This window comes from Homo sapiens, chromosome 11 (genome assembly GCF_000001405.40).
Source record: "Homo sapiens chromosome 11, GRCh38.p14 Primary Assembly".
In the NCBI taxonomy this organism is placed as follows: Eukaryota; Metazoa; Chordata; class Mammalia; order Primates; family Hominidae; genus Homo; species Homo sapiens.
Genome location: NC_000011.10, coordinates 86,939,513 through 86,965,293, shown reverse-complemented (window position 1 = coordinate 86,965,293; position 25,781 = coordinate 86,939,513). Strand labels below are relative to the sequence as shown.

Genomic DNA, 25,781 nt, shown 5'->3' with positions numbered 1-25,781 from the left:
CAATGATAACAAAGACACAATGTACCAGAATCTCTGGGACACATTTAAAGCAGTGTGTAGAGGGAAATTTATAGCACTAAATGCCCACAAGAGAAAGAAGGAAAGATCTAAAATCGACACCCTAACATCACAATTTAAAGAACAAGAGAAGCAAGAGCAAACAAATTCAAAAGCTAGCAGAAGGCAAGAAATAACTAGGCTCAGAGCAGAACTGCAGGAGATAGAGACACAAAAAACCCTTCAAAAAATCAATGAATCCAGGAGCTGGTTTTTTGAAAAGATCAACAAAATAGACTACTAGCTAGACTAATAAAGAAGAAAAGAGAGCAGAATCAAATAGACGCAATAAAAAATGATAAAGGGGATATCACCACTGATCCCACAGAAATACACACTACCATTAGAGAATACTATCAACACCTCTATGCAAATAAACTAGAAAATCTAGAAGAAATGGATAAATTCCTGGACACGTACACCCTCCCAAGACTAAACCAGGAAGAAGTTGAATCTCTGAATAGACCAGTAACAGGTTCTGAAATTGAGGCAATAATTAATAGCCTACCAACCAAAAAAAAGTCCAGGAACAGACAGATTCACAGCTGAATTCTACCAGAGGTATAAAGAGGAGCTAGTACCATTCCTTCTGAAACTATTCCAATCAATAGAAAAAGAGGGAATCCTCCCTAACTCATTTTATGAGGCCAGCATCATCCTGACACCAAAGCCTGGCAGACACACAACAAAAAAAGAAAATTTTAGACCGATATCCCTGATGAATATCATTGTGAAAACCCTCAATAAAATACTGGCAAACCGAATCCAGCAGCACATCAAAAAGCTTATCCACCACGATCAAGTGGGCTTCATCCCTGGGATGCAAGGCTGGTTCAACATATGCAAATCAATAAATGTAATCCATCACATAAACAGAACCAGTGACAAAAACCACATGATTATCTCAATAGATGCAGAAAAGGCCTTCGACAAAATTCAACAGCCTTTCATGCTAAAAACCCTCAATAAACTAGGTGTTGATGGAATGTATCTCAAAATAATAAGAGCTATTTATGACAAACCGACAGCCAATATCATACTGAATGGGCAAAAACTAGAAGCATTCCCTTTGAAAACCGGCACAAGACAAGGATGCCCTCTCTCATCACTCCTATTCAACATGGTATTGGAACTTCTGGCCAGGGCAGTCAGGCAAGAGAAAGAAATACAGGATATTCAATTAGGAAAACAGGAAGTCAAATTGTCTCTGTTTGCAGATGACATGATTGTATATTTAGAAAACCCCACTGTCGCAGCCCAAAATCTCCTTAAGCTGACAAGCAACTTCAGCAAAGTCTCAGGATACAAAATCAATATGCAAAAATCACAAGCATTCCTATACACCAAGAACACACAAACAGCCACATCATGAGTGAACTCTCATTCACAATTACTACGAAGAGAATAAAATACCTAGGAATCCAACCTACACAGCATATGAAGGACCTCTTCAAGGAGAACTACTAAAACCACTGCTCAACGAAATAAAAAAGGACACAAACAAATGGAAGAATATTCCATGCTCATGGATAGGAAGAATCAATATTGTGAAAATGGCCATACTGCCCAAGGTAATTTGTAGATTCAATGCCATCCCCATCAAGCTACCACTGACATTCTTCACAGAATTGGAAAAAACTACTTTAAATTTCATATGGAACCAAAAAAGAACCCACATAACCAAGACAATCCTAAGCAAAAAGAACAAAGCTGGAGGCATCATGCTACCTCACTTCAAACTATACTACAAGGCTACAGTAACCAACACAGCATGGTACTGGTACCAAAACAGACATACAGACAAATGGAACAGAACAGAGCCCTCAGAAATGGCACCACACATCTACATCCATCTGGTCTTTGAAAAACCTGACAAAAAAAAGCAATGAGGAAAGCATTCCCTATTTAATAAATGGTGCTGGGAAAACTGGCTAGCCATATGTAGAAAGGTGAAACTGGATCCCTTCCTTACACCGTATACAAAAATTAACTCAAGATGGATTAAAGACTTAAATGTTAAGACCTAAAACCATAAAATCCCTAGAAGAAAACCTAGGCAATACCATTTAGGATATAGGCATGGGCAAAGACTTCATGACTAAAACACCAAAAGCAATGGCAACAAAAGCCAAAATACACAATGGGATCTAATTAAACTACAGAGCTTTTGCACAGCAAAAGAAACTATCATCAGAGTGAACAGGCAACCTACAGAATGGGAGAAAATTTTCACAATCTATCCATCTGACAAAGGGCTAATATCCAGAATCTACAAAGAACTTAAACAAATTTAGAAGAAAAAACAACCCCATCAAAAAGTGGGCAAAGGATATGAACAGACACTTCTCAAAAGAAGACATTTATGCAGTCAACAGACATATGAAAAAATGCTCATCATCAGCGGTCATCAGAGAAACGCAAATCAAAACCACAATTAGACACCATCTCACACCAGTTAGAATGGGGATCATTAAAAAGTCAGGAAACAACAGACGCTGGAGACAATGTGGAAAAACAGGAACACTTTTACACTGTTGTTGGAGTGTAAACTAGTTCAACCATTGTGGAAGACCGTGTGGCGATTCCTCAAGGATCTAGAACAAGAAATACCATTTGACCCAGCAATCCCATTACTGGATAAATACCCAAAGGACTATAAATCATTCTACCATAAAGGTACCTGCACATGTATGTTTACTGCAGCACTACTCCTTTAAAAAAAGGAAAGCTAGGTGTGAAGTTTGGGAAATCAGGGGCAAAGTGGAACCCACAGGGACAAACTAGATCCCATGTCTGTCTTTAACCACCTCTAAGCTTGATAATGCAGGTGACCTGCAGAAGCTGGAGTCCTTAGCAACATAACTACTCAAGCACCTGGCCCAGGACTCCGAGCAAATAAAGGAGATCATCAGGAGGTGGAGGAACTGCAGGCCCGGGTGTTACCCCATGCCAACAGGTGAGCCAGCAGATCAGTAACAATGCACATGAGCCACCATGGTGCCTGGTACCCAGCACTGACTTTCAGAGCATAAAAATGCTGCTTCACATCTACCTCCCCAATCTTGCGTTAATTTTTCTTGTAGCTTACCCTAATCTGGAACCATGTAGGAAGGAGATTCTGGGAAAGTTCGTTTCAGCTTAGCTAGATTAACATAATACGAAACTAGTAGAATCTACTCCTTGTCAGCCTGGGATGCATACGCACTTCTTTTAACCACACTTAACTTCCAAATAAAGAGCAAAATAATGCTTTCCCTTCACAATACACAATTGTCCCTCATGCAACTAAAAATATGCTATCCCTCTCCCTGAGAGTGACTATAAAGTCCCTTTATTCATCTTTGGGTGATAATCATTCTTTTCCTAGCTGAGTCACTCTCTCCTTTGATATCTTGTTATTTAATTGTGTCCTGGTTATTTGTTGCTAAACAACAAACCAACCTAAACCTATAGGAATAAAACAATGACCATCACGGATTTTATGTGTTAGGAATTTGAAAAGGCACAGCAAGGATGTTGGGATGACTCCAACAGTAGAGGTTAGGAATGGGGGAGCCAGAGAATCCACTTTCAAGATGGCTTCTTTCCTCACATTTTGGGCCCCTGGCTTGGGATGGCTGAAGGACAGGCTCATCTGGGACTAATGAAGAACCTGCACGTAGCCTCTCCTTGCAGTCTTAGAGTAGCTGAACTATTTACAAGGCCGCTCAGAGCTCCAAAGTGAGTTTTCCGGCAAACAAAGTAGAAATTGCATGACCTTTCATGATGTAGCTTTGGAGGTCACGTAGTAGCACTTACAGCATACTCGGTCGGTTGAAGAAGTTACAAACCCTCCCTGATTCAAGGGGAGAGAACATAAATTCCGTCCTTCAACAGGAGAAGCATCAAAGAATTTGAGGCCATGTTTTAAAACCACCATCTGGGACTTTATCTCATCTAGTTCATGCTTATACACAATATGTGGTAGCTAGTTCACCCTTTGGTCATTATTTAGCATCATTTTCATTCATATTCATTTCTCATCTCCATTAATTAATCAGAGTGCTGTCTGAGAATATTAAAAAGTGCCTTCCTTTCCATGCTTCCCAAAGTCTCTTTGAAAATTACCCATCCTTCAAAGCTAAGCTTACATTCTAATTTTTGTACAAACTTACCAATCACATGTAATCCCTTGACTTAAAATGCTTTGGCTTCAGACCCCGGCTTTTACCAACCGTCTCATGGCATATATGTTCCTAATGGCTTCAGTTGACAATAATGAGATGAGTGGTCGACTAACTATAGTAGTAAACAGTGATCTAAAAAATATCTTAGGCTCCATCCTGGCTAACACGGTGAAACCCCGTCTCTACTAAAAATATAACAAAGTAGCCGGGCATGGTGGTGGGCACCCGTAGTCCCAGCTACTTGGGAGGCTGAGGCAGGAGAATGGCGTGAACCTGGGAGGCGGAGGTTGCAGTGAGCCAAGATTGCGCCACTGCACTCCAGCCCGGGTGACAGAGTGAGACTCCGTCTCACAGGAAAAAAAAAAAAAAAACAGTCTTAGGCCGATTCATGAAATAGAGAAACACATTAACACATTTGCTTCTGAATTGAAAAACAATTTCTGTCAAGGTTATTTTTTTAGGCCAGACACAGTGGCTCGTGCCTATAATCCCAGCACTTGGGAAGCCAAGGTGGGTGGATTATTTTGAGCTCAAGGGTTTAAGACCAGCCTGGGCAATATGGCAAAACCTGTCTCTACAAAAAAATATAAAAATTAGCACAGCATGTTGGCTCGCACCTGTGGTCCCAGCTACTCAGAAGGCTGAGGCTGGAGGCTCCCTTGAGCCCTGAAAGCAGAGGTTGTGAGCCAAGATCATACCACTGCACTCCAGCCTGAGCGACAGAGTGAGACCCTATCTCAAAGAAAAAAAAAAGATATTTGTCTACTGTAAAAGATTTAAGAATAGACACAGTCAAACAAAAAGGAAGATAAATAATTGGCAAAACATCTGACTTGAGAAGAAAGCTGAAAGTGTGAACCATGCCTGACTTGGAGGAGCGGTTTATAATCTTGACTTAACCATCATTCTGGAACCACTTAGGTAGTGTTTTGGCGGTTGCCTATACCCGGCTCATAATGCAGGCTTTCTTTTTCTGAATAATCAGATCACTTATAGGCAGAACCATTCATTTATGTATTAAACAAATAACTACTGAGTGCCTTCTATGGCTCAGGTAATATTGTTCTATGTTGTTTAAGAGCATGGTAGTGAAAAAGACACAGCCTCTGACTTCAGAGGAGAGTGAAAGAGACAAAAGCAAAACAGCCCAATAACTTTATAATACAGAACCTTATGTAAAACAACAAGGGGAGACTGGAAATAAGAAAGCTCAACAAAATGCACTTAACCATAAAAAACTTGTTTTGCCCTTGGTCTCATGTCTTAATCTTCCCCAATGTGACTGTAAGCTCCTTGAAGGCAGAAACCACCTTTAACATGTCTGCATACTCCCTAGTACCCAGCTCAATGACATGTCCACAATAACCCATCACTAAATATTTGTTAACAGCTTGACTGATCAATTTCACTGAAACGAAACGAGGCTATGGAGGTAAAAGTGTGTTTGCATTATTTTTTGCCTTCCATGGAGGTTTTTGGTTGTTCATCTTTGCGTTAACTCATCACCACCAATAAATAAGGATGTCTGATGTACCATTTAATGCTTGCTAAACTTATGGGTAGGAAAAATTTTGAGCTTCTATTTCTTGACATGCAAGAGCTCTGTGGTGACAATTCTTCTCTGCTAGCTAGTGGTGCAATGGACTAAGAAGGGAGTTTGGCTCTGCCACTTAATAGGTATTAATCTCTTGGGAACTTTGATTCCTCAGCTCGAAGTAAGATCAGTGTTCCCTTCCACCTTACTCAGCAGGCGCACTTTTGTTTTATAACTAGTTTGGGTGCAGGGGGAGATGTAACACCCTATTTATAAATGGATGGAATGTGGCATGGCATCTTCTTGCTTTGCTTTTGTTGTTCCACAGTAAATTCCCAATACTTATGGGGTTTTAGTCCCAGTGAATTATTTCCCTCAAAAACCAGGCAGATAATAATGAACCACTTTCTTGCACTTTCCATCAAGACAGCTCTTTGTGAGTTCTAAATGTTCTATCTAGATTCAAAGAAGCTGGTTTCTTCATGAGTGGTTGGAATAAGACTTTTCTTGGAAGCTACTGAATATGGATTAGTTGGATTGTTTCATAGGAAATAAAAAGCAGGCTCTAGGGTAACTACTTCAGCACTTAATTGGGTTAGCAAAGAGCCGCAAATGAGAGATTTTCCCGTAGGAGGGAAAGGATGTTTATAGCTTCCACCCCCTTAGGTGATGCATTTTAACCTAAACATTACTCTTCCAATGCAGCCTTTAATTTAGTAAGCATTACAAGAATCTATTAGAGCAGAAAACGTCAGGTTGAAAAATTAACACATCACCGGAGTTAATAAGAACCCAGCCTCTTATTAGATACAAATGGAGAGCCCTCCAACTGCCCAACAGACTGTTGAAGTCATGTTTGTTGCAGCTCCAAAGTAGTTGAATCTTTACTGCTCAGAGGCTGGACCAAGGAAACTGCCCAGGCACTCAAGCCAGAGTTAGCAGGGGCCCATGGCCTACACTTTATTCAGGTGTCCCTATCTTTTCCTCTCAGAAATGCTGTGCATGTCACAGGGTGGATATCCCTCTGCCTGGGACTCCCTCGGGAAGTGTTTTCTGTAACAAAGACAAACATGCCATGCCTGTCACCAGGGGCAGATTGTGGACTGTGTAAACCACTCCAGGAGAGGGAGGCTGAGGGGCTCCAGGCCATTCAGATTTAGCTCTAAGTTATGGTCTTTGTTGTCTTTCCACATTCAGACTGAAATGTGATTCCCCTAGCTTTCTTTTTTGGAAAATACTGGTGATGAGTTCCACGACTAGAAAGAAAAGCTGTTGACAGAAAAAGCTTCTGATAGGGAAGGGGCTTCTTCATGTGTTCTCAAAGGAGACAATTGCTTCAAGCAAGCTGAGGCAGGATGCCAGGTCTAGGAATAAGAGGTCCAGATCACAAAATGGTCATCTTTAACTATGGATTAGGCTGGGCGTGAAGCAGTTTCCTCTGCAAGAGCAGTACCATGCACACAGAGTTTAGGGCCAGGCAGACATGCATGAGTTCTTCTCTACGACTTACTGTGTAATCTTGGGCAAACTGCTTGGCCTCTCAGAGCATCAGTTTCTGCAAGTTGTGAGAAATAAATAAAATTAAGAATGTAAGGCATGTAACACAGTGTCTGAAAGTAAGAGTTCTATATGAGTGGTTTGTTATTGATTTGAAAACAGTATTCCTTCACCCAGAACAAATGATGTTCCTTGTGTGCCAGGCCCTGTATGAGGGACAGGTCCTCCTCCTTGACCTCAGGGAGTTCACTGTTTAATAAACCATGTAACCATATCTTCAGCACAAAGCACACCCCACCACCACCACTCTTCCCTAGAAGAAGGGCCAATTGCATACTAACTACACTTTGTTGAGTAGCTACGAGTCTTGCAGGTCATCCCCCTTTGAGTAGCCCTCCAGACTCAGCCACTTCTACCTTCAATTCACCCACAATTCTCTATCTGTGCACTTAGCAAACTAAGTTATTGTTGTTTGTTAATCCTTTGTCTCCTCCTGTGAGATCCTAAAGGATGAGGATTATCTATTCATTTGATCTGTTCATCTGATTATATATTCATCTCTGTAACCCAAATGATTAATAGATCATTTGATCTCTACATCTGATCGTTTATTCATCTCTGTAGGCCAAGGGTTTTATGCATTACTCAGCACAGGCACACAGAGATTCAATCCTATTGCTGAGTACATTGATTTCCAGCTGGGAATTTTTTCTGGGAAAATAGCCCTGCCTTCCATCTTTGAAGAGCCTCTTCTGGGCCCTGGTTTGGTTGGTCTTGTCATTTTCTATTACTGTGGTTCTAGCCTCAGTTTCCTAATCTCTATAAGGAGCTAACGGAACCTCCTTCACTGGGAGTTTATGATGATGACTGGAGACAATGCAGCTTCTCCGTGTCCAACACAGTTCTAGGCACAGAGCCAAATACCAAAAAAAAGTTGATTCCATTTTTGCCCTCAGTCAAGTCTCGTTGCCAATATAAGAAGACTAAAAATACAAGACAGAATATGAGTGTCACATGAGTGGCACAGACATTCTTCCAACTTGCATCTAGCCTCTGCCATATGCCACAGAATTGGCTGAAATGGGAGGATAAAAACATGCATAAAACAGTGGCAAGTGTTGGACAAAAAGATCTCAGGAAGAGGGTGAAAAGCCTTTTACCCAGATCCTCATTCCGGGGCTGCTGGAGCTGTCTTTAGCACCAGGCTGGAAAGCAGGAGGCTGTCCCATAATTGATCTCCCCTAGCTGTTTTGGAAACACATACACACACACACACACACACACACACACACACACACACCCCAATCACCAAGTTCTTCAGCATTTATTATGTGTCAGACACTGCTAAATGATTTACAGGTATTATCTCACTGAACTCTTAGAACAACTGTGTGAGGTGGATATGAACTTCCCCACTTTACAGCCGGCCACTTTGAGGCTCAGAGAGGCACCATAGCTTCAACACAGTCAAGCAACAAGTAAACGGTGGAGGAATCCACCTGCTGGGAGTTTACTGGCCGACTGGAAAGCAGAGAGAGGGTGGACCAGCACAAAGCCGCGGGGGGCTGGTAATGAGACAGGAAAGTTGGGTTCAAACCTGGGTCACATGATCCCCAGATCCCTAGGAGCCGAAGCAGAAGCAAAGAAAAAAAGGGGTGCAGCCTGGTGGGGAGGGGGTGCCCGGGAGGCCGGGAGAGAGGAGTCACGGTGGTTGTGCGCCTTCCTCGTCCCCAGTGCACAGGTCAAGCCTCTCCCCTCCCGCCCTCTCACCCTCCCAACCTTATTTAGAAACCGTGTCCCCGAGACAGGAAGGGCGGCGGGCCGAGAAGCACGGAGAGTCCCGGTCTCATTTCCTTTCGAATCCCCCTGTGGAATTTCATTTCATACGGTGAGGAAATCAGAGCGCGAGACCGTCGGCGGGTCTGCAGCTCCGCAGCTCTGGGGCGCCTCCCCGCTGGCGGCTGGAGGTGGGCGGCTCCCTGCGCAGGTCGGGCGAGTCTGGGGGCGGGGAGAGGCCGGGCCCCGATCGCCGCTGGTCCGGAGTGAAAATAGCTGTGGACTCACGCAGTACCAGGCACCATGCTAAGCCTTCTACACTTTATCTCTAATCCTCCCAAGTGACTTTACAGAGGAGACTGACGCCGAGGGGTTGAGCAATTTGCTCAAGGTCACACAACCGGGACTGAAAGCCACAATCGGTGTAAATCCAAATCCCCAATTCTTTGTGTACGTTTCTCTGCCTGACGGGGAGGTGGCCACCGGCCTAGGTTACAGCTGAAAGGAGACAGGAAGGAAAGGGGGCAGATGGAACAGGGCGCACTTCTCACCTGCAGAAGGGGGCAGGACGGCGTGGCTGGAGCCACTGGGCTGCGTCCCTGCTTGGCCCCTGCGCGCCTAGATCCGGGTGGGAGGAAAGCAAGAGCCGGGAGGCGGGCGGGGCGGGGCGCTAGGGGAGGGAGGGAGGGAGGGGCGGCCGGAGGAGGGGGCCGGAGGGCGGGGGCCTGACTCCTCCTGCGGGAGAGCGGCCCCGCCCCGCCGCCTCGCCCCTAGCTGCCCACCGCGCCCGGCCATTGGAGAGGCCCGCTGTCCGTCCCGCCCCGCCGCCGCGCCGCGAGCCTCCAGCGCCGCGCAGGGCTCCGGCGGTGAGAGCTGCGCAGCGCTGGCTGCTGGCTGGCCTCGCGGAGACGCCGAACGGACGCGGCCGGCGCCGGCTTGTGGGCTCGCCGCCTGCAGCCATGACCCTCGCAGCCTGTCCCTCGGCCTCGGCCCGGGACGTCTAAAATCCCACACAGTCGCGCGCAGCTGCTGGAGAGCCGGCCGCTGCCCCCTCGTCGCCGCATCACACTCCCGTCCCGGGAGCTGGGAGCAGCGCGGGCAGCCGGCGCCCCCGTGCAAACTGGGGGTGTCTGCCAGAGCAGCCCCAGCCGCTGCCGCTGCTACCCCCGATGCTGGCCATGGCCTGGCGGGGCGCAGGGCCGAGCGTCCCGGGGGCGCCCGGGGGCGTCGGTCTCAGTCTGGGGTTGCTCCTGCAGTTGCTGCTGCTCCTGGGGCCGGCGCGGGGCTTCGGGGACGAGGAAGAGCGGCGCTGCGACCCCATCCGCATCTCCATGTGCCAGAACCTCGGCTACAACGTGACCAAGATGCCCAACCTGGTTGGGCACGAGCTGCAGACGGACGCCGAGCTGCAGCTGACAACTTTCACACCGCTCATCCAGTACGGCTGCTCCAGCCAGCTGCAGGTGGGCGCCCCCACCCCCACCCCTGGCGGGACCCCTTGGGGAGGGACGCTCCAAACTAACTTTGCAGAGCCCATGCCAAGTTGATCATCCTAGCCCGAAGGAGACAGCTCTCCTGGAAAAGTGATTTCCATCCCCACCCCCACTTTCTCAGGGACTGGAAGCCAAAACGTTGTGTAAGTCATCTGGCCTGGGAAAGAACCCACTCTTACACCCCGCCCTTCCGTTTTTCTCTCTTGCCCACCCATGTCTGGCCCAGACCCCTAACCCCAGTGGAGCTGAGGGTTATCTCTGCCAAGGATTCTGGCCGCCACTGCTCGGTGGGCGAGTGGGAGGGAGCCAGCTGCAGCTAAGACTTGGAGGGAGTGATAAGGAGACCATCCTTCACCGAACTTCCTTCTCCCCACTATTTTTGGGGTGTTATTAAATGAAACACTACTGCACCTTTTTCTGCTGAATAGCCCCTTCTCACGACGTCCCGCAGCGTTTTAGAGGTCATGCATGAAGGAGTGGTTGGGTTGGCTTGAGTTCTTTCTTATCCTCACAGTTGAAGGCACGTTTAATGCTTGGAGGGTGAGAAGAAGCTGCAGGAAGGTGGTTGGTATATTGGAAGAAATTTTTTTGCAGTCATTAAAAAATGTAAAGCATATCTAATGATAGAGAAAATGTTTATTCCACAGTAATAAGAATTTGCATATACAGGGTGATTATAATCCTGCAAAATAAAAAATTTATTGGGATAATAAAAGACTGACAGGAAAATTTTTAAAGTGTTAACATTGGTTATGTTTGGGTTGGTGAGGCTGGGTGATTTTTAGAAATTTAGAAAAGAGAGAAGTTGTGGGAAAAAGTAGACGTTAGTTGTCCAGGCTTCAGAAATCTGGTTTCTGGCCGGGCGCAGTGGCTCACGCCTGTAATCCCAGCACTTTGGGAGGCCGAGGCAGGTGGCTCACGAGGTTAGGAGTTCGAGACCAGCCTGACCAACATGGCGAAATCCTGTCTCTACTAAAAGTACAAAAATTAGCCGGGCGTGGTGGCGTGCGCCTGTAATCCCAGCTACTCAGGAGGCTGAGGCAGGAGAATCGCTTGAACCCAGGAGGCAGAGGTTGCAGTGAGCGGGGATTGCACCATTGCACTCTAGCCTGGGCCACAGGAGCGAAACTCCGTATCAAAAAAAAAAAGAAAAGAAAAGAAATCTGTGGTTCTGGCTGTAACTTCTGAGAGATAATAAACAGACATACAGCTTACTTACTAGGTGCATGTTTTTACATAGGTCATTTTAAAACTTGGTTTGTGGTTTTGGAAAGATGGTGGGGATTAGACCTGTTGCTGCTAAAATATCCCTTTGGAAGTTTCAGAACTTTAGAACTAGGTTATAAAAGCTTAAGAAATGATCCTCCAGCTCTCAGTTTGGAAACAGCACATATCCTGACATCAGTGGCAATTTGTTGGAGAAACAGCTTTTGCAGGGATATATATTTTTAATTACATGTATCCTGGGGAAAGCGGCCAAGCTGTTTTGAAGGACAAGACTGGATCCCTTTACATGCTGGAAAATAGTTACTTGTAACTCTAGACTTCATAGACAACATCTGTAAGGAGCCAAGCAGACTGTTTATCAATGCTGGAGGAATTGAGGACAGCAACTGGACTCTCCCCTGCTGGTACTGCAGTTTCAGCGACTTAACATTTACATTTTCCTATTGTGCTTCATTATTATTCATTGAGGAAACCTGGCCAAACAAATCCCTAGTGACCAGAGACCTCAATCTGCATCCCATCCTTGAGTCTAACAGTGTCTCATTTGGGCCATTTTTTGTTTCAGTATGGGACTAGTTTAAACAAATTTTTAAGGGATAAATTAGGGAGAAGAGAATACTAACAGGATCTACATTTTTTTTTAACTTTTATTTTTAAAATGATAAAGAAACGGGGATAAAAATAAACCACCTAAATGAGTCATATTAGTTTCTTTAGCTTTTTCAAATAGTTTCTAAAATGGAAGGAGATTGAAAGCCAGTTTTTTAAGATTTATTTCAAGTGTTGTGCAAAGAGGGCTTATGCAATTCTTCAGACCCTATTTATTTTATTTATTTATTTATGTACATTCTTCTGGAAAGGATTACTAAAGCCAAACTAAGAAAAGTATGTAAGTGATGGATTATCAGGCGCCCTTGTTTGAGGTCAGAGTAAACAGACAGACTCCCGATAGGTTGGTTTAAAAGTAGATACCTAGATTGCCTGGAAGCATTCAACTCAGCTTTGTGGGAGCATTTGGTCAAACTTCCAAGTCATTGTTTTTTTTGTGTGTGTTCATTTTGTTACTTTTCCAGTTCTTCCTTTGTTCTGTTTATGTGCCAATGTGCACAGAGAAGATCAACATCCCCATTGGCCCATGCGGCGGCATGTGTCTTTCAGTCAAGAGACGCTGTGAACCCGTCCTGAAGGAATTTGGATTTGCCTGGCCAGAGAGTCTGAACTGCAGCAAATTCCCACCACAGAACGACCACAACCACATGTGCATGGAAGGGCCAGGTGATGAAGAGGTGCCCTTACCTCACAAAACCCCCATCCAGCCTGGGGAAGAGTGTCACTCTGTGGGAACCAATTCTGATCAGTACATCTGGGTGAAAAGGAGCCTGAACTGTGTGCTCAAGTGTGGCTATGATGCTGGCTTATACAGCCGCTCAGCCAAGGAGTTCACTGATATCTGGATGGCTGTGTGGGCCAGCCTGTGTTTCATCTCCACTGCCTTCACAGTACTGACCTTCCTGATCGATTCTTCTAGGTTTTCCTACCCTGAGCGCCCCATCATATTTCTCAGTATGTGCTATAATATTTATAGCATTGCTTATATTGTCAGGCTGACTGTAGGCCGGGAAAGGATATCCTGTGATTTTGAAGAGGCAGCAGAACCTGTTCTCATCCAAGAAGGACTTAAGAACACAGGATGTGCAATAATTTTCTTGCTGATGTACTTTTTTGGAATGGCCAGCTCCATTTGGTGGGTTATTCTGACACTCACTTGGTTTTTGGCAGCAGGACTCAAATGGGGTCATGAAGCCATTGAAATGCACAGCTCTTATTTCCACATTGCAGCCTGGGCCATCCCCGCAGTGAAAACCATTGTCATCTTGATTATGAGACTGGTGGATGCAGATGAACTGACTGGCTTGTGCTATGTTGGAAACCAAAATCTCGATGCCCTCACCGGGTTCGTGGTGGCTCCCCTCTTTACTTATTTGGTCATTGGAACTTTGTTCATTGCTGCAGGTTTGGTGGCCTTGTTCAAAATTCGGTCAAATCTTCAAAAGGATGGGACAAAGACAGACAAGTTAGAAAGACTGATGGTCAAGATTGGGGTGTTCTCAGTACTGTACACAGTTCCTGCAACGTGTGTGATTGCCTGTTATTTTTATGAAATCTCCAACTGGGCACTTTTTCGGTATTCTGCAGATGATTCCAACATGGCTGTTGAAATGTTGAAAATTTTTATGTCTTTGTTGGTGGGCATCACTTCAGGCATGTGGATTTGGTCTGCCAAAACTCTTCACACGTGGCAGAAGTGTTCCAACAGATTGGTGAATTCTGGAAAGGTAAAGAGAGAGAAGAGAGGAAATGGTTGGGTGAAGCCTGGAAAAGGCAGTGAGACTGTGGTATAAGGCTAGTCAGCCTCCATGCTTTCTTCATTTTGAAGGGGGGAATGCCAGCATTTTGGAGGAAATTCTACTAAAAGTTTTATGCAGTGAATCTCAGTTTGAACAAACTAGCAACAATTAAGTGACCCCCGTCAACCCACTGCCTCCCACCCCGACCCCAGCATCAAAAAACCAATGATTTTGCTGCAGACTTTGGAATGATCCAAAATGGAAAAGCCAGTTAGAGGCTTTCAAAGCTGTGAAAAATCAAAACGTTGATCACTTTAGCAGGTTGCAGCTTGGAGCGTGGAGGTCCTGCCTAGATTCCAGGAAGTCCAGGGCGATACTGTTTTCCCCTGCAGGGTGGGATTTGAGCTGTGAGTTGGTAACTAGCAGGGAGAAATATTAACTTTTTTAACCCTTTACCATTTTAAATACTAACTGGGTCTTTCAGATAGCAAAGCAATCTATAAACACTGGAAACGCTGGGTTCAGAAAAGTGTTACAAGAGTTTTATAGTTTGGCTGATGTAACATAAACATCTTCTGTGGTGCGCTGTCTGCTGTTTAGAACTTTGTGGACTGCACTCCCAAGAAGTGGTGTTAGAATCTTTCAGTGCCTTTGTCATAAAACAGTTATTTGAACAAACAAAAGTACTGTACTCACACACATAAGGTATCCAGTGGATTTTTCTTCTCTGTCTTCCTCTCTTAAATTTCAACATCTCTCTTCTTGGCTGCTGCTGTTTTCTTCATTTTATGTTAATGACTCAAAAAAGGTATTTTTATAGAATTTTTGTACTGCAGCATGCTTAAAGAGGGGAAAAGGAAGGGTGATTCACTTTCTGACAATCACTTAATTCAGAGGAAAATGAGATTTACTAAGTTGACTTACCTGACGGACCCCAGAGACCTATTGCATTGAGCAGTGGGGACTTAATATATTTTACTTGTGTGATTGCATCTATGCAGACGCCAGTCTGGAAGAGCTGAAATGTTAAGTTTCTTGGCAACTTTGCATTCACACAGATTAGCTGTGTAATTTTTGTGTGTCAATTACAATTAAAAGCACATTGTTGGACCATGACATAGTATACTCAACTGACTTTAAAACTATGGTCAACTTCAACTTGCATTCTCAGAATGATAGTGCCTTTAAAAATTTTTTTATTTTTTAAAGCATAAGAATGTTATCAGAATCTGGTCTACTTAGGACAATGGAGACTTTTTCAGTTTTATAAAGGGAACTGAGGACAGCTAATCCAACTACTTGGTGCGTAATTGTTTCCTAGTAATTGGCAAAGGCTCCTTGTAAGATTTCACTGGAGGCAGTGTGGCCTGGAGTATTTATATGGTGCTTAATGAATCTCCAGAATGCCAGCCAGAAGCCTGATTGGTTAGTAGGGAATAAAGTGTAGACCATATGAAATGAACTGCAAACTCTAATAGCCCAGGTCTTAATTGCCTTTAGCAGAGGTATCCAAAGCTTTTAAAATTTATGCATACGTTCTTCACAAGGGGGTACCCCCAGCAGCCTCTCGAAAATTGCACTTCTCTTAAAACTGTAACTGGCCTTTCTCTTACCTTGCCTTAGGCGTTCTAATCATGAGATCTTGGGGACAAATTGACTATGTCACAGGTTGCTCTCCTTGTAACTCATACCTGTCTGCTTCAGCAACTGCTTTGCAATGACATTTATTTATTAATTCATGCCTTAAAAAAATAGGAAGGGAAGCTTTTTTTTTTCTTTTTTTTTTTTTCAATCACACTTTGTGGAAAAACATTTCCAGGGACTCAAAATTCCAAAAAGGTGGTCAAATTCTGGAAGTAAGCATTTCCTCTTTTTTAAAAATTTGGTTTGAGCCTTATGCCCATAGTTTGACATTTCCCTTTCTTCTTTCCTTTTTGTTTTTGTGTGGTTCTTGAGCTCTCTGACATCAAGATGCATGTAAAGTCGATTGTATGTTTTGGAAGGCAAAGTCTTGGCTTTTGAGACTGAAGTTAAGTGGGCACAGGTGGCCCCTGCTGCTGTGCCCAGTCTGAGTACCTTGGCTAGACTCTAGGTCAGGCTCCAGGAGCATGAGAATTGATCCCCAGAAGAACCATTTTAACTCCATCTGATACTCCATTGCCTATGAAATGTAAAATGTGAACTCCCTGTGCTGCTTGTAGACAGTTCCCATAACTGTCCACGGCCCTGGAGCACGCACCCAGGGGCAGAGCCTGCCCTTACTCACGCTCTGCTCTGGTGTCTTGGGAGTTGTGCAGGGACTCTGGCCCAGGCAGGGGAAGGAAGACCAGGCGGTAGGGGACTGGTCTTGCTGTTAGAGTATAGAGGTTTGTAATGCAGTTTTCTTCATAATGTGTCAGTGATTGTGTGACCAAGGCAGCATCTAGCAGAAAGCCAGGCATGGAGTAGGTGATCGATACTTGTCAATGACTAAATAATAACAATAAAAGAGCACTTGGGTGAATCTGGGCACCTGATTTCTGAGTTTTGAGTTCTGGAGCTAGTGTTTTGACAATGCTTTGGGTTTTGACATGCCTTTTCCACAAATCTCTTGCCTTTTCAGGGCAAAGTGTATTTGATCAGAAGTGGCCATTTGGATTAGTAGCCTTAGCAATGCTACAGGGTTATAGGCCTCTCCTTTCACATTCCAGACAATGGAGAGTGTTTATGGTTTCAGGAAAAGAACTTTGTGGCTGAGGGGTCAGTTACCAGTGACCTTCAATCAACTCCATCACTTCTTAAATCGGTATTTGTTAAAAAAATCAGTTATTTTATTTATTGAGTGCCGACTGTAGTAAAGCCCTGAAATAGATAATCTCTGTTCTTCTAACTGATCTAGGATGGGGACGCACCCAGGTCTGCTGAACTTTACTGTTCCTCTGGGAAAGGAGCAGGGACCTCTGGAATTCCCATCTGTTTCACTGTCTCCATTCCATAAATCTCTTCCTGTGTGAGCCACCACACCCAGCCTGGGTCTCTCTACTTTTAACACATCTCTCATCCCTTTCCCAGGATTCCTTCCAAGTCAGTTACAGGTGGTTTTAACAGAAAGCATCAGCTCTGCTTCGTGACAGTCTCTGGAGAAATCCCTTAGGAAGACTATGAGAGTAGGCCACAAGGACATGGGCCCACACATCTGCTTTGGCTTTGCCGGCAATTCAGGGCTTGGGGTATTCCATGTGACTTGTATAGGTATATTTGAGGACAGCATCTTGCTAGAGAAAAGGTGAGGGTTGTTTTTCTTTCTCTGAAACCTACAGTAAATGGGTATGATTGTAGCTTCCTCAGAAATCCCTTGGCCTCCAGAGATTAAACATGGTGCAATGGCACCTCTGTCCAACCTCCTTTCTGGTAGATTCCTTTCTCCTGCTTCATATAGGCCAAACCTCAGGGCAAGGGAACATGGGGGTAGAGTGGTGCTGGCCAGAACCATCTGCTTGAGCTACTTGGTTGATTCATATCCTCTTTCCTTTATGGAGACCCATTTCCTGATCTCTGAGACTGTTGCTGAACTGGCAACTTACTTGGGCCTGAAACTGGAGAAGGGGTGACATTTTTTTAATTTCAGAGATGCTTTCTGATTTTCCTCTCCCAGGTCACTGTCTCACCTGCACTCTCCAAACTCAGGTTCCGGGAAGCTTGTGTGTCTAGATACTGAATTGAGATTCTGTTCAGCACCTTTTAGCTCTATACTCTCTGGCTCCCCTCATCCTCATGGTCACTGAATTAAATGCTTATTGTATTGAGAACCAAGATGGGACCTGAGGACACAAAGATGAGCTCAACAGTCTCAGCCCTAGAGGAATAGACTCAGGGATTTCACCAGGTCGGTGCAGTATTTGATTTCTGGTGAGGTGACCACAGCTGCAGTTAGGGAAGGGAGCCATTGAGCACAGACTTTGGAAGGAACCTTTTTTTTGTTGTTTGTTTGTTTGTTTGTTTGTTTGTTTGTTTGAGACAGGGTCTTGCTCTGTCACCCAGGCTGGGGCGCAATGGCACGATCTTGGCTCACTGCAACCTCTGCCTCCTGGGTTCAAGTGATTCTCCTGCCACAGCCTCCTGAGGAGCTGGGACTACAGGTGCGTGCTACCACGCCCAGCTACTTCTGTATTTTTAGTAGAGACGGGGTTTCACTGTGTTGGCCAGGCTGGTCTCGAACTCCTGACCTCATGATCTGCCCGCCTCAGCCTCCCAAAGTGCTGGGATTACAAGTGTGAGCCACCACACCTGGCCTGGAAGGAACCTCTTAAAATCAGTTTACGTCTTGTATTTTGTTCTGTGATGGAGGACACTGGAGAGAGTTGCTATTCCAGTCAATCATGTCGAGTCACTGGACTCTGAAAATCCTATTGGTTCCTTTATTTTATTTGAGTTTAGAGTTCCCTTCTGGGTTTGTATTATGTCTGGCAAATGACCTGGGTTATCACTTTTCCTCCAGGGTTAGATCATAGATCTTGGAAACTCCTTAGAGAGCATTTTGCTCCTACCAAGGATCAGATACTGGAGCCCCACATAATAGATTTCATTTCACTCTAGCCTACATAGAGCTTTCTGTTGCTGTCTCTTGCCATGCACTTGTGCGGTGATTACACACTTGACAGTACCAGGAGACAAATGACTTACAGATCCCCCGACATGCCTCTTCCCCTTGGCAAGCTCAGTTGCCCTGATAGTAGCATGTTTCTGTTTCTGATGTACCTTTTTTCTCTTCTTCTTTGCATCAGCCAATTCCCAGAATTTCCCCAGGCAATTTGTAGAGGACCTTTTTGGGGTCCTATATGAGCCATGTCCTCAAAGCTTTTAAACCTCCTTGCTCTCCTACAATATTCAGTACATGACCACTGTCATCCTAGAAGGCTTCTGAAAAGAGGGGCAAGAGCCACTCTGCGCCACAAAGGTTGGGTCCATCTTCTCTCCGAGGTTGTGAAAGTTTTCAAATTGTACTAATAGGCTGGGGCCCTGACTTGGCTGTGGGCTTTGGGAGGGGTAAGCTGCTTTCTAGATCTCTCCCAGTGAGGCATGGAGGTGTTTCTGAATTTTGTCTACCTCACAGGGATGTTGTGAGGCTTGAAAAGGTCAAAAAATGATGGCCCCTTGAGCTCTTTGTAAGAAAGGTAGATGAAATATCGGATGTAATCTGAAAAAAAGATAAAATGTGACTTCCCCTGCTCTGTGCAGCAGTCGGGCTGGATGCTCTGTGGCCTTTCTTGGGTCCTCATGCCACCCCACAGCTCCAGGAACCTTGAAGCCAATCTGGGGGACTTTCAGATGTTTGACAAAGAGGTACCAGGCAAACTTCCTGCTACACATGCCCTGAATGAATTGCTAAATTTCAAAGGAAATGGACCCTGCTTTTAAGGATGTACAAAAGTATGTCTGCATCGATGTCTGTACTGTAAATTTCTAATTTATCACTGTACAAAGAAAACCCCTTGCTATTTAATTTTGTATTAAAGGAAAATAAAGTTTTGTTTGTTAGGTTGTGTGTGACTTGGCATATTTCTGAAAGTATATGACAGCCACTAGGAAGCATATACACCCAGCAGTGAGAAATAGAGGATTCAGTTTGTAGGGCAGATTGGGAACTGCTTTCTGAGGGCCTCTTTCTTTTTTGCTGGGGCTCTTTTTCCCCTGTGGGATTTCTCCTGCGTCAGCAAACCCCCACAGTCTAAGGTCAACAGAATTGATTGCTAATATGGTCATCAGTAACACTCAAGTAGGTCACATGATGCTTTGGATATAACTATAGTTCTCAAGTTGTTATCCCAATGACACCTCTTTTTTTTTTTTTTGGCATTTTCAGTGCATATGGCTGTCTTTGCCTTTCAAGCCCCATTGACTTAATCTGATGGCCTAAAAAAGAGTTTTCCCATCATTGCTAGAACTTTTGGCCTCTTAAAAAAGGGAAGGGAAAGGGGGCTTTTTTTTTCTTCAGATTTTTTTTTTTCTGGCTACCCAGTGGTTCTGTTTGTGTAATAGACATGGGCATATGTCACATTTGTCAATCAGGAAAGTGGCTTCTTTAGCTAATTTTATAAATTGGATGGTCTGTGTCCCCATATCCAGAAAAGTCATCGGACAAAGCAAATTCAAAGCTACTATCAGGATATTGTTATGGGAGTCAGTAATATTATAGACCTCACATACAGAGGGAAGGAGAGCCATCACCGTCTGCTGATGTCCCAGATGTGAACATCAGGCCTCTTGGTTTGCTTTTAAATTGCTTGCCACCCTTTAGCTTCACTTGAATACCACCCTGTTTTGGTGTGAGTAAAAAGCCCATTGAACAAGGATCTGCAGTACTACTCTCCTTATCTGCAGATTGCTACCGGACATTTATCTCAAACCCTAAATGAAGGCAGGTATGTAATTTAAATGGTTTTCCCGGTTGGGCTGTGTTTCTCTTTCCATTACCTATTCATTAAGTAATTACGAAGTTAAGGAAAGTCAACACAATCTGGAATGAATTCTTAATTCCTTGCACTTAAAGAAACATTTTCTGAATAGAAAATACTTCCATTTACATGATTTCATTTTATTCTCCTGGCATTTCTGAAGTCAGTAGGGCAGGTCTGACAACCTTCCTTTAGAGTGGAGAAGCCAAGACGTAGAGAGGGCGAGGGCAACCCAAAGGGGTTGGAGAAGGTTGGTCAGCAGGTCTTCCCATGCCCAACTCAGGGTTTTGGTTGTATTTTTATTTTATACAGGGTTTTCTTTTGTTTTTGTTTTATACTCCTGTGGGTTGCATGGTGTCCCTCTAATCTTAACCCCAGATACCTGTGAACGTGACCTTATTAGGAAATAGGGTCTTTGCAGATTAAATCAAGTTAAAAATGAGTTCATACTTACTAGATTAGGGTGGGTTCTAATCTAATATCTAGTATCCTTATAAAAACTGGGAAATTTGGACACAGACACAGAGAGGAGAATGCCATGGGAAGGCCGACACAGAGATTGGAGTTATGCAGCTACAGGCCAAGCAAGAAACACCAAGGATTGCTGGAAACCACCAGCCAGGAGAGAGGCAGGGAAGATTCTTCCTTGGATCCTCCAGGAGAACACAACCTTGATCTTTGCTTTCTAACCTCCAGAACTGTGTAAGAATAAATTCCTATGGGCGAGGCGCAGTGGCTCACACCTGTAATCCCAGCACTTTGGGAGGTCAAGGCAGGCAGATCACATGAGGTCAGGAGTTTGAGACCAGCCTGGCCAATATGGTAAAACCCCGTCTCTACTAAAAATACAAAAACTAGTCAGGTGTGACACGCGCCTGTAGTCCCAGCTACTTGGGAGGCTGAGATGGGAGAATCGCTTGAACCTGGGAGGCAGAGGTTGCAATGAGCCGAGATCGTGCCATTGCACTTCAGCCTGGGCATCGCAGCAACACTCTGTCCCAAATAAATAATAAATAAATTCCTGTTGCCTTTGGCCACCCAGTTTGTGATAATTTGTTACAGCAGCCCAAGGAAACTAATACAGACTCTATCCCTCTGATTTCTATTTTTTTTCTATTTTATTTTATTTTATTTTTTTGAGATGGAGTCTTGCTCTGTCACCCAGGCTGGAGTGCAATGACTTGATCTCGGCTCACTGCAACCTCCGCCTCCCTGGTTCAAGTGATTCTCCTTCCTCAGCCTCCTGAGTAGCTGGGATTACAGGCACCTGCCATCATGCCTGACTAATTTTTGTATGTTTGTGGAGATGGGGTTTCACCATGTTGGCCAGGCTGGTCTTGAACTCCTGACCTCAGGCGATCCTCCCGCCTCAGCCTCCCAAAGTGCTGGGATTACAGGCGTAAGCCACCGCACCCAGCCTCCTCTGATTTCTTTACTGCAAATAGTTCACTTGGAGTGGGTAGATTCTTTGGCACCTTTCTCAATAATGAGATCTGACCATAAGCTTCTATTTTTTAAAAGATTATATAGCATTATCACTATAGTACATTCCTTTATCTGTAAACTGGACACTTCTAGAATAAATGCCATGATCCCCAACACCCTATAGTTTGAATTGGTCTTGGCTGGTCTCTTGCCCACCTTCCCCCAATGGGAGCTCTGTGTGCACGGCCAGGACCCTAACTGGAATGTGACCCAAGGGTTTTTAGCATTTCGGTCCTGAGAACTGATTTTTTCTCTTTCCCATTTTAGCTTTCACATGCAATTATAATTTTAAAGTTGAGCTGACTCTTGACTAAAGAGGTCAGCCTTGGCCTCCTGTTTTCAGAGGTTCTGTGTACAGAAATAAACCAGACTGGGAGAAGGGCTTTATTCTGTCCTTCATTTTCCTTCACAATGCAAGCTGGTACCGTAGGACTGGGAGGATCCCACTAAATATCTTGAAGATGTGTTGGACCTGCAAAAGTTTAGTTCAAAAGGGTTTCAAAATGGACCTTGGCCTCACATGAAATTCTTAGAATTACCCTGTTTTTTTCCTTCAGTCATTTCATCTTTAGGCTAAGAGGGCCCATAGATTTATTTACCCTCATGGCAAAGGATTCCAACTTCTCAAATTCCCAGGGAAAGAGAATAGAAAATCAAATGTATTGCATTTTCCATCCACTGCCTGATTTTCATCAGCTTTCCACCTGGTTTCCTATAAGCACCCAATTCTATTTTCACTCAAGAACGTGCTTAATCTCATGGAAAGCCTGCATTATCAATGCCTTTCTCTTTAAGAGATTAAATGATTGGTTATGTAAATTTCCTGAAATGCCTGGGGTTGCATCATTCCACTTGATATGAGGTAAATGGGTGGAATATAAAGCAATGAGATGGAATAGATAAGTCACAGAAAATCCTGTCCTGGTTTCATCATGTTCCTCTCACCCCTTTGCCTTTGCATATGCGTTGTTTCCTTTTGCCTGGAATGTCCTTTCCATCTTTCTTCAACTAGGTTATGTCTGTCCTTTTTAAAGCCTTGGGTCATCTTTCCTGGGAAGACATCCCCGATCCTCCTGCTTGCCACTTCCTGCTTCCCTTTCCTTTTATTGATAGGTAGGTTTAAGCCTCTGTGCATTCAACTCTGGGAGCCTTCCTTGCACTGATTGCAATGATCTGTGCATGCATCCATTTCTTACTAAACTGAGCTCCCTGAGCATGACTTTGAGCACCTAAAGTTGTCTATTTATGTACCGTCAGAGCTTGGCACACTGCCTGGCACAGGGCACAAGTTTCAAAATATATGTATAAGGAAGGAAGGCAGGGAGGAAAGAAGAAATGGAGTAAGGAAGGAGGGGAGGAAGGGAGGGTTTTAACCTTGTTAGATGGAGAAACTGAAGGGCTTTGATGACAAACATGGCCACCATAGGAAGGAAACCAAAGGTGACAACAAGAGCCATCAGGTTGGCAGGACTTTCTGGGAAGATACTAGGGCACTAGCCCCCAAGAAAATTCTCCAGCCTCAAAGATAGGTTAGGGAATGATCGACTACCCCACTGTGTTGCCTATTGTAAGTTGTCTCTTTTAAATATTTGCTGAAAGTCTACTGTATATAGAACACTGGAATGGGCTAGGGAAGGGAAAGGGAGTGATTTTTAAAAACTAGGAAATACGAAGTCCAACTTGGAGTCCAAAAGTGCAGATGACAAAACAGAGAAAGAATTCAGCTGCTATTAACAAGCTTAAAACTCTAAATGTGGAAAAACAAATCCTCTACTGCTTAGTAAATATTTGTTGAATAGCTGAAATGAGGGTCCATCGTGTGCCAGCCACTGTCCTGGGAAGGCACCGTAGGGGACACAGATAAATAAGACATAACCTTTCCCTCTAGAAGTTCGCTGCAGCACACTACGTGCCTCCCTCTACCCTCCTTCCCACAAAGGATCAATGCTACTAGTCCTATCACACTTACTATGTAATTTCTTCCTAAGTCCATAGGTCTTGTGGTTTAGCTTGAATAGAACAGTTTCTGAGTACCCAGTGTAATGGGCAAACAGTTCCTAAACTGCTGTCGTCTCACCATTTGACCCCTCAAAGGACACATCTGCTGATGTAAATATGTAGGGAAGGTGGAGGGAAGAAGAAAAAGAGAGAAGTGAGGATCCCAAAGACCATAACTCATTTAAAACTTGGTCTGCCCATCAAAACCACCCCCAGAATTCAGAATGTAAAATATAAAAATTGAAACTTACTCATTATGTGCCATCGGAGGTATTTAGTCAAAATTCAGCATCTGACCACCTTTTCTAGGCCTATGTTGATTTACAATATTTGTACCCAGTAGGTCGTTTATGTAGGTGTGTTACCTTGTATCCTCTGAACCTTCTTCTCTTACTACTGTTGTCATAATTGTATAAATACAAAGAGATTGCTCTATAGAAGTTAAAAGAAGTACAGTACATGGTCAGTCCTCCTCATGTATCCAGAGTGAAAAGGATAAATGTGTGAATAAACTTGGCAGAGAGTTGCCTGCAGGAGGTGTAGGGCAGTGAGTGGCTCAGTGTAACTGGAGCCTGAGATTCTTGGAGTGGGAGGGAAGGTGGGCTGAGGCCAAGTTATGAAAGGCCTTGGAGGCCGTATTCTCTCCTGCGCTCAGCACAGGGGAGTCGGCAAAAGTTTGAAAGCAAGGAAGGTTCATGTCCCTGTTGGTGTTTTTACATAGCTTGCTCTGTCTGCCGTGTGGACTGTGGGCTGGGAAGAAGGCAAGCAGGAGACAGGAAGACCGGTTTGGATGAGAAACCATGAAGGCCTGAATGAAGGTGGTAGCAGAGAGATGGAAAGGAGGGGGTGATTTTCAGAGAAGCCACAACAAATTGTGTCCTCTGTAGCTCTGGTCAATGAGCCGAATCTTTGCTTTCTAAAATGCCAGTGTTTCAGAGGCAAGGAGTTTCTGTTTGCTCTGCACACCCGATACAGCACACCCCTACGTTGCAAACTAAAGATAAATAACGCCAGAGGCCACGGCAGCTTGCAACACTGACCAAGTAGCCCTGGAGATCTTGAGTTTCACTGCATTCAGACTCCCCCTTGCAGTCCGAGGGTCAGCATGACACTGTTAGTGGAGGGGACAGGGTCCTTGGGAGGAGAGGGTAGCATTTAGTTGTTTATGTAGTGCTAAGGGGCCCCACCAGCTCTTCGGGACTCAGAGTTTTCTAACACGACTTATTTCTTAGAGTAGCCGATTCAAATTTCATAGTAAAGGTTTAATTTAGGACAAACTGAATCCAAGTCATGTCTCCCATGTAGATTTTGTTTCTTGACACAGTTTTCTTTGCTAACTACTGTGAATTGCCTAACCAGATCTACAGAAAACCATATCATGGGCCCACATTTTTTTCTAATCCTCTTCCTTTTAAATCAGAAATTCAGTATAACATTTTTCCATAAGTGAATGAGAGAACCACTTCCTAGCATTTTTGTGTGTCCCCCCCACCCACCCCTTTAAAAAAAAAAAAAGAAAGAAACAACAACAGACCTTCCTTTTGGATTTACATCAGCATTTAGCTAACTTCCTGAACATTTCACCCATTTCCTGAACTTATTCTCAGGAAGGAAAAACATCCTCCTTCAGAAATAAATGCAAATAATCCCAGAGATTATTTCTATTAAATAAATAGTGTAAACGCAATGGAATTTCCTGTAAGATGTATATTTACCATGGATATTTCAATAAAAATGTATTGTGATTCTGTAAGACTCATGATATT

General features: G+C 44.2%; 2 protein-coding genes and 1 long non-coding RNA gene across 4 annotated transcripts in view, besides 4 other annotated features; 1 reads left to right on the top strand and 2 right to left on the bottom strand.

Moving 5' to 3' along the window:
* The window catches only part of FZD4-DT (FZD4 divergent transcript), a 45,330-nt gene extending 35,657 nt beyond the window's left edge, over positions 1–9,673 (bottom strand). The window contains exons 1-2 of the long non-coding RNA NR_038905.1: positions 9,582–9,673; positions 7,268–7,312 (exon numbers count right to left, since the gene is read on the bottom strand). This is a non-coding gene — a long non-coding RNA (FZD4 divergent transcript). The remainder of the gene's footprint in view (positions 1–7,267; positions 7,313–9,581) is intronic.
* Positions 9,172–9,321: a silencer, noted in NCBI's record as "silent region_3830". NCBI's record gives its function as "represses an Ori minimal core promoter by ATAC-STARR-seq in GM12878 lymphoblastoid cells {active_cell/tissue: GM12878}" and the evidence as "EXISTENCE:reporter gene assay evidence [ECO:0000049][PMID:35858748]".
* Positions 9,672–10,041: a silencer, noted in NCBI's record as "silent region_3829". NCBI's record gives its function as "represses an Ori minimal core promoter by ATAC-STARR-seq in GM12878 lymphoblastoid cells {active_cell/tissue: GM12878}" and the evidence as "EXISTENCE:reporter gene assay evidence [ECO:0000049][PMID:35858748]".
* FZD4 (frizzled class receptor 4) lies at positions 9,899–19,615 on the top strand. Its single transcript, NM_012193.4, has 2 exons — positions 9,899–10,493; positions 12,824–19,615. The coding sequence occupies exons 1-2, from the start codon at positions 10,209–10,211 to the stop codon at positions 14,150–14,152; spliced, it is 1,614 nt and encodes a 537-aa protein (NP_036325.2). The 5' UTR covers positions 9,899–10,208; the 3' UTR covers positions 14,153–19,615.
* Positions 10,172–10,221: a silencer, noted in NCBI's record as "silent region_3828". NCBI's record gives its function as "represses an Ori minimal core promoter by ATAC-STARR-seq in GM12878 lymphoblastoid cells {active_cell/tissue: GM12878}" and the evidence as "EXISTENCE:reporter gene assay evidence [ECO:0000049][PMID:35858748]".
* The window catches only part of PRSS23 (serine protease 23), a 161,840-nt gene continuing 148,442 nt past the window's right edge, over positions 12,384–25,781 (bottom strand). Inside the window, exons 4-5 of one of the 2 annotated variants that reach the window (NR_120591.3) lie at positions 14,795–14,938; positions 12,384–14,078 (exon numbers count right to left, since the gene is read on the bottom strand). The gene's annotated coding sequence lies outside the window, so the exon portion shown is untranslated. The remainder of the gene's footprint in view (positions 14,079–14,794; positions 14,939–25,781) is intronic. The other variant, NR_120592.2, reaches the window with a different exon arrangement.
* Positions 24,386–24,885: an enhancer, noted in NCBI's record as "H3K27ac hESC enhancer chr11:86651451-86651950 (GRCh37/hg19 assembly coordinates)". NCBI's record gives its function as "activates a minimal SCP1, AML or CMV promoter by ChIP-STARR-seq in naive H9 embryonic stem cells {active_cell/tissue: H9 hESC(naive)}" and the evidence as "EXISTENCE:reporter gene assay evidence [ECO:0000049][PMID:30033119]".

What these genes read in the sequence shown, in the direction of transcription:
- FZD4 (NM_012193.4), top strand. Translation starts at nt 10,209, where the DNA reads ATGGCCTGGCGGGGCGCAGGGCCGAGCGTCCCGGGGGCGCCCGGGGGC. An exon ending in GCTGCTCCAGCCAGCTGCAG is followed by an intron (nt 10,494 to 12,823) that starts GTGGGCGCCCCC and finishes TTACTTTTCCAG; the next exon opens with TTCTTCCTTTGTTCTGTTTA.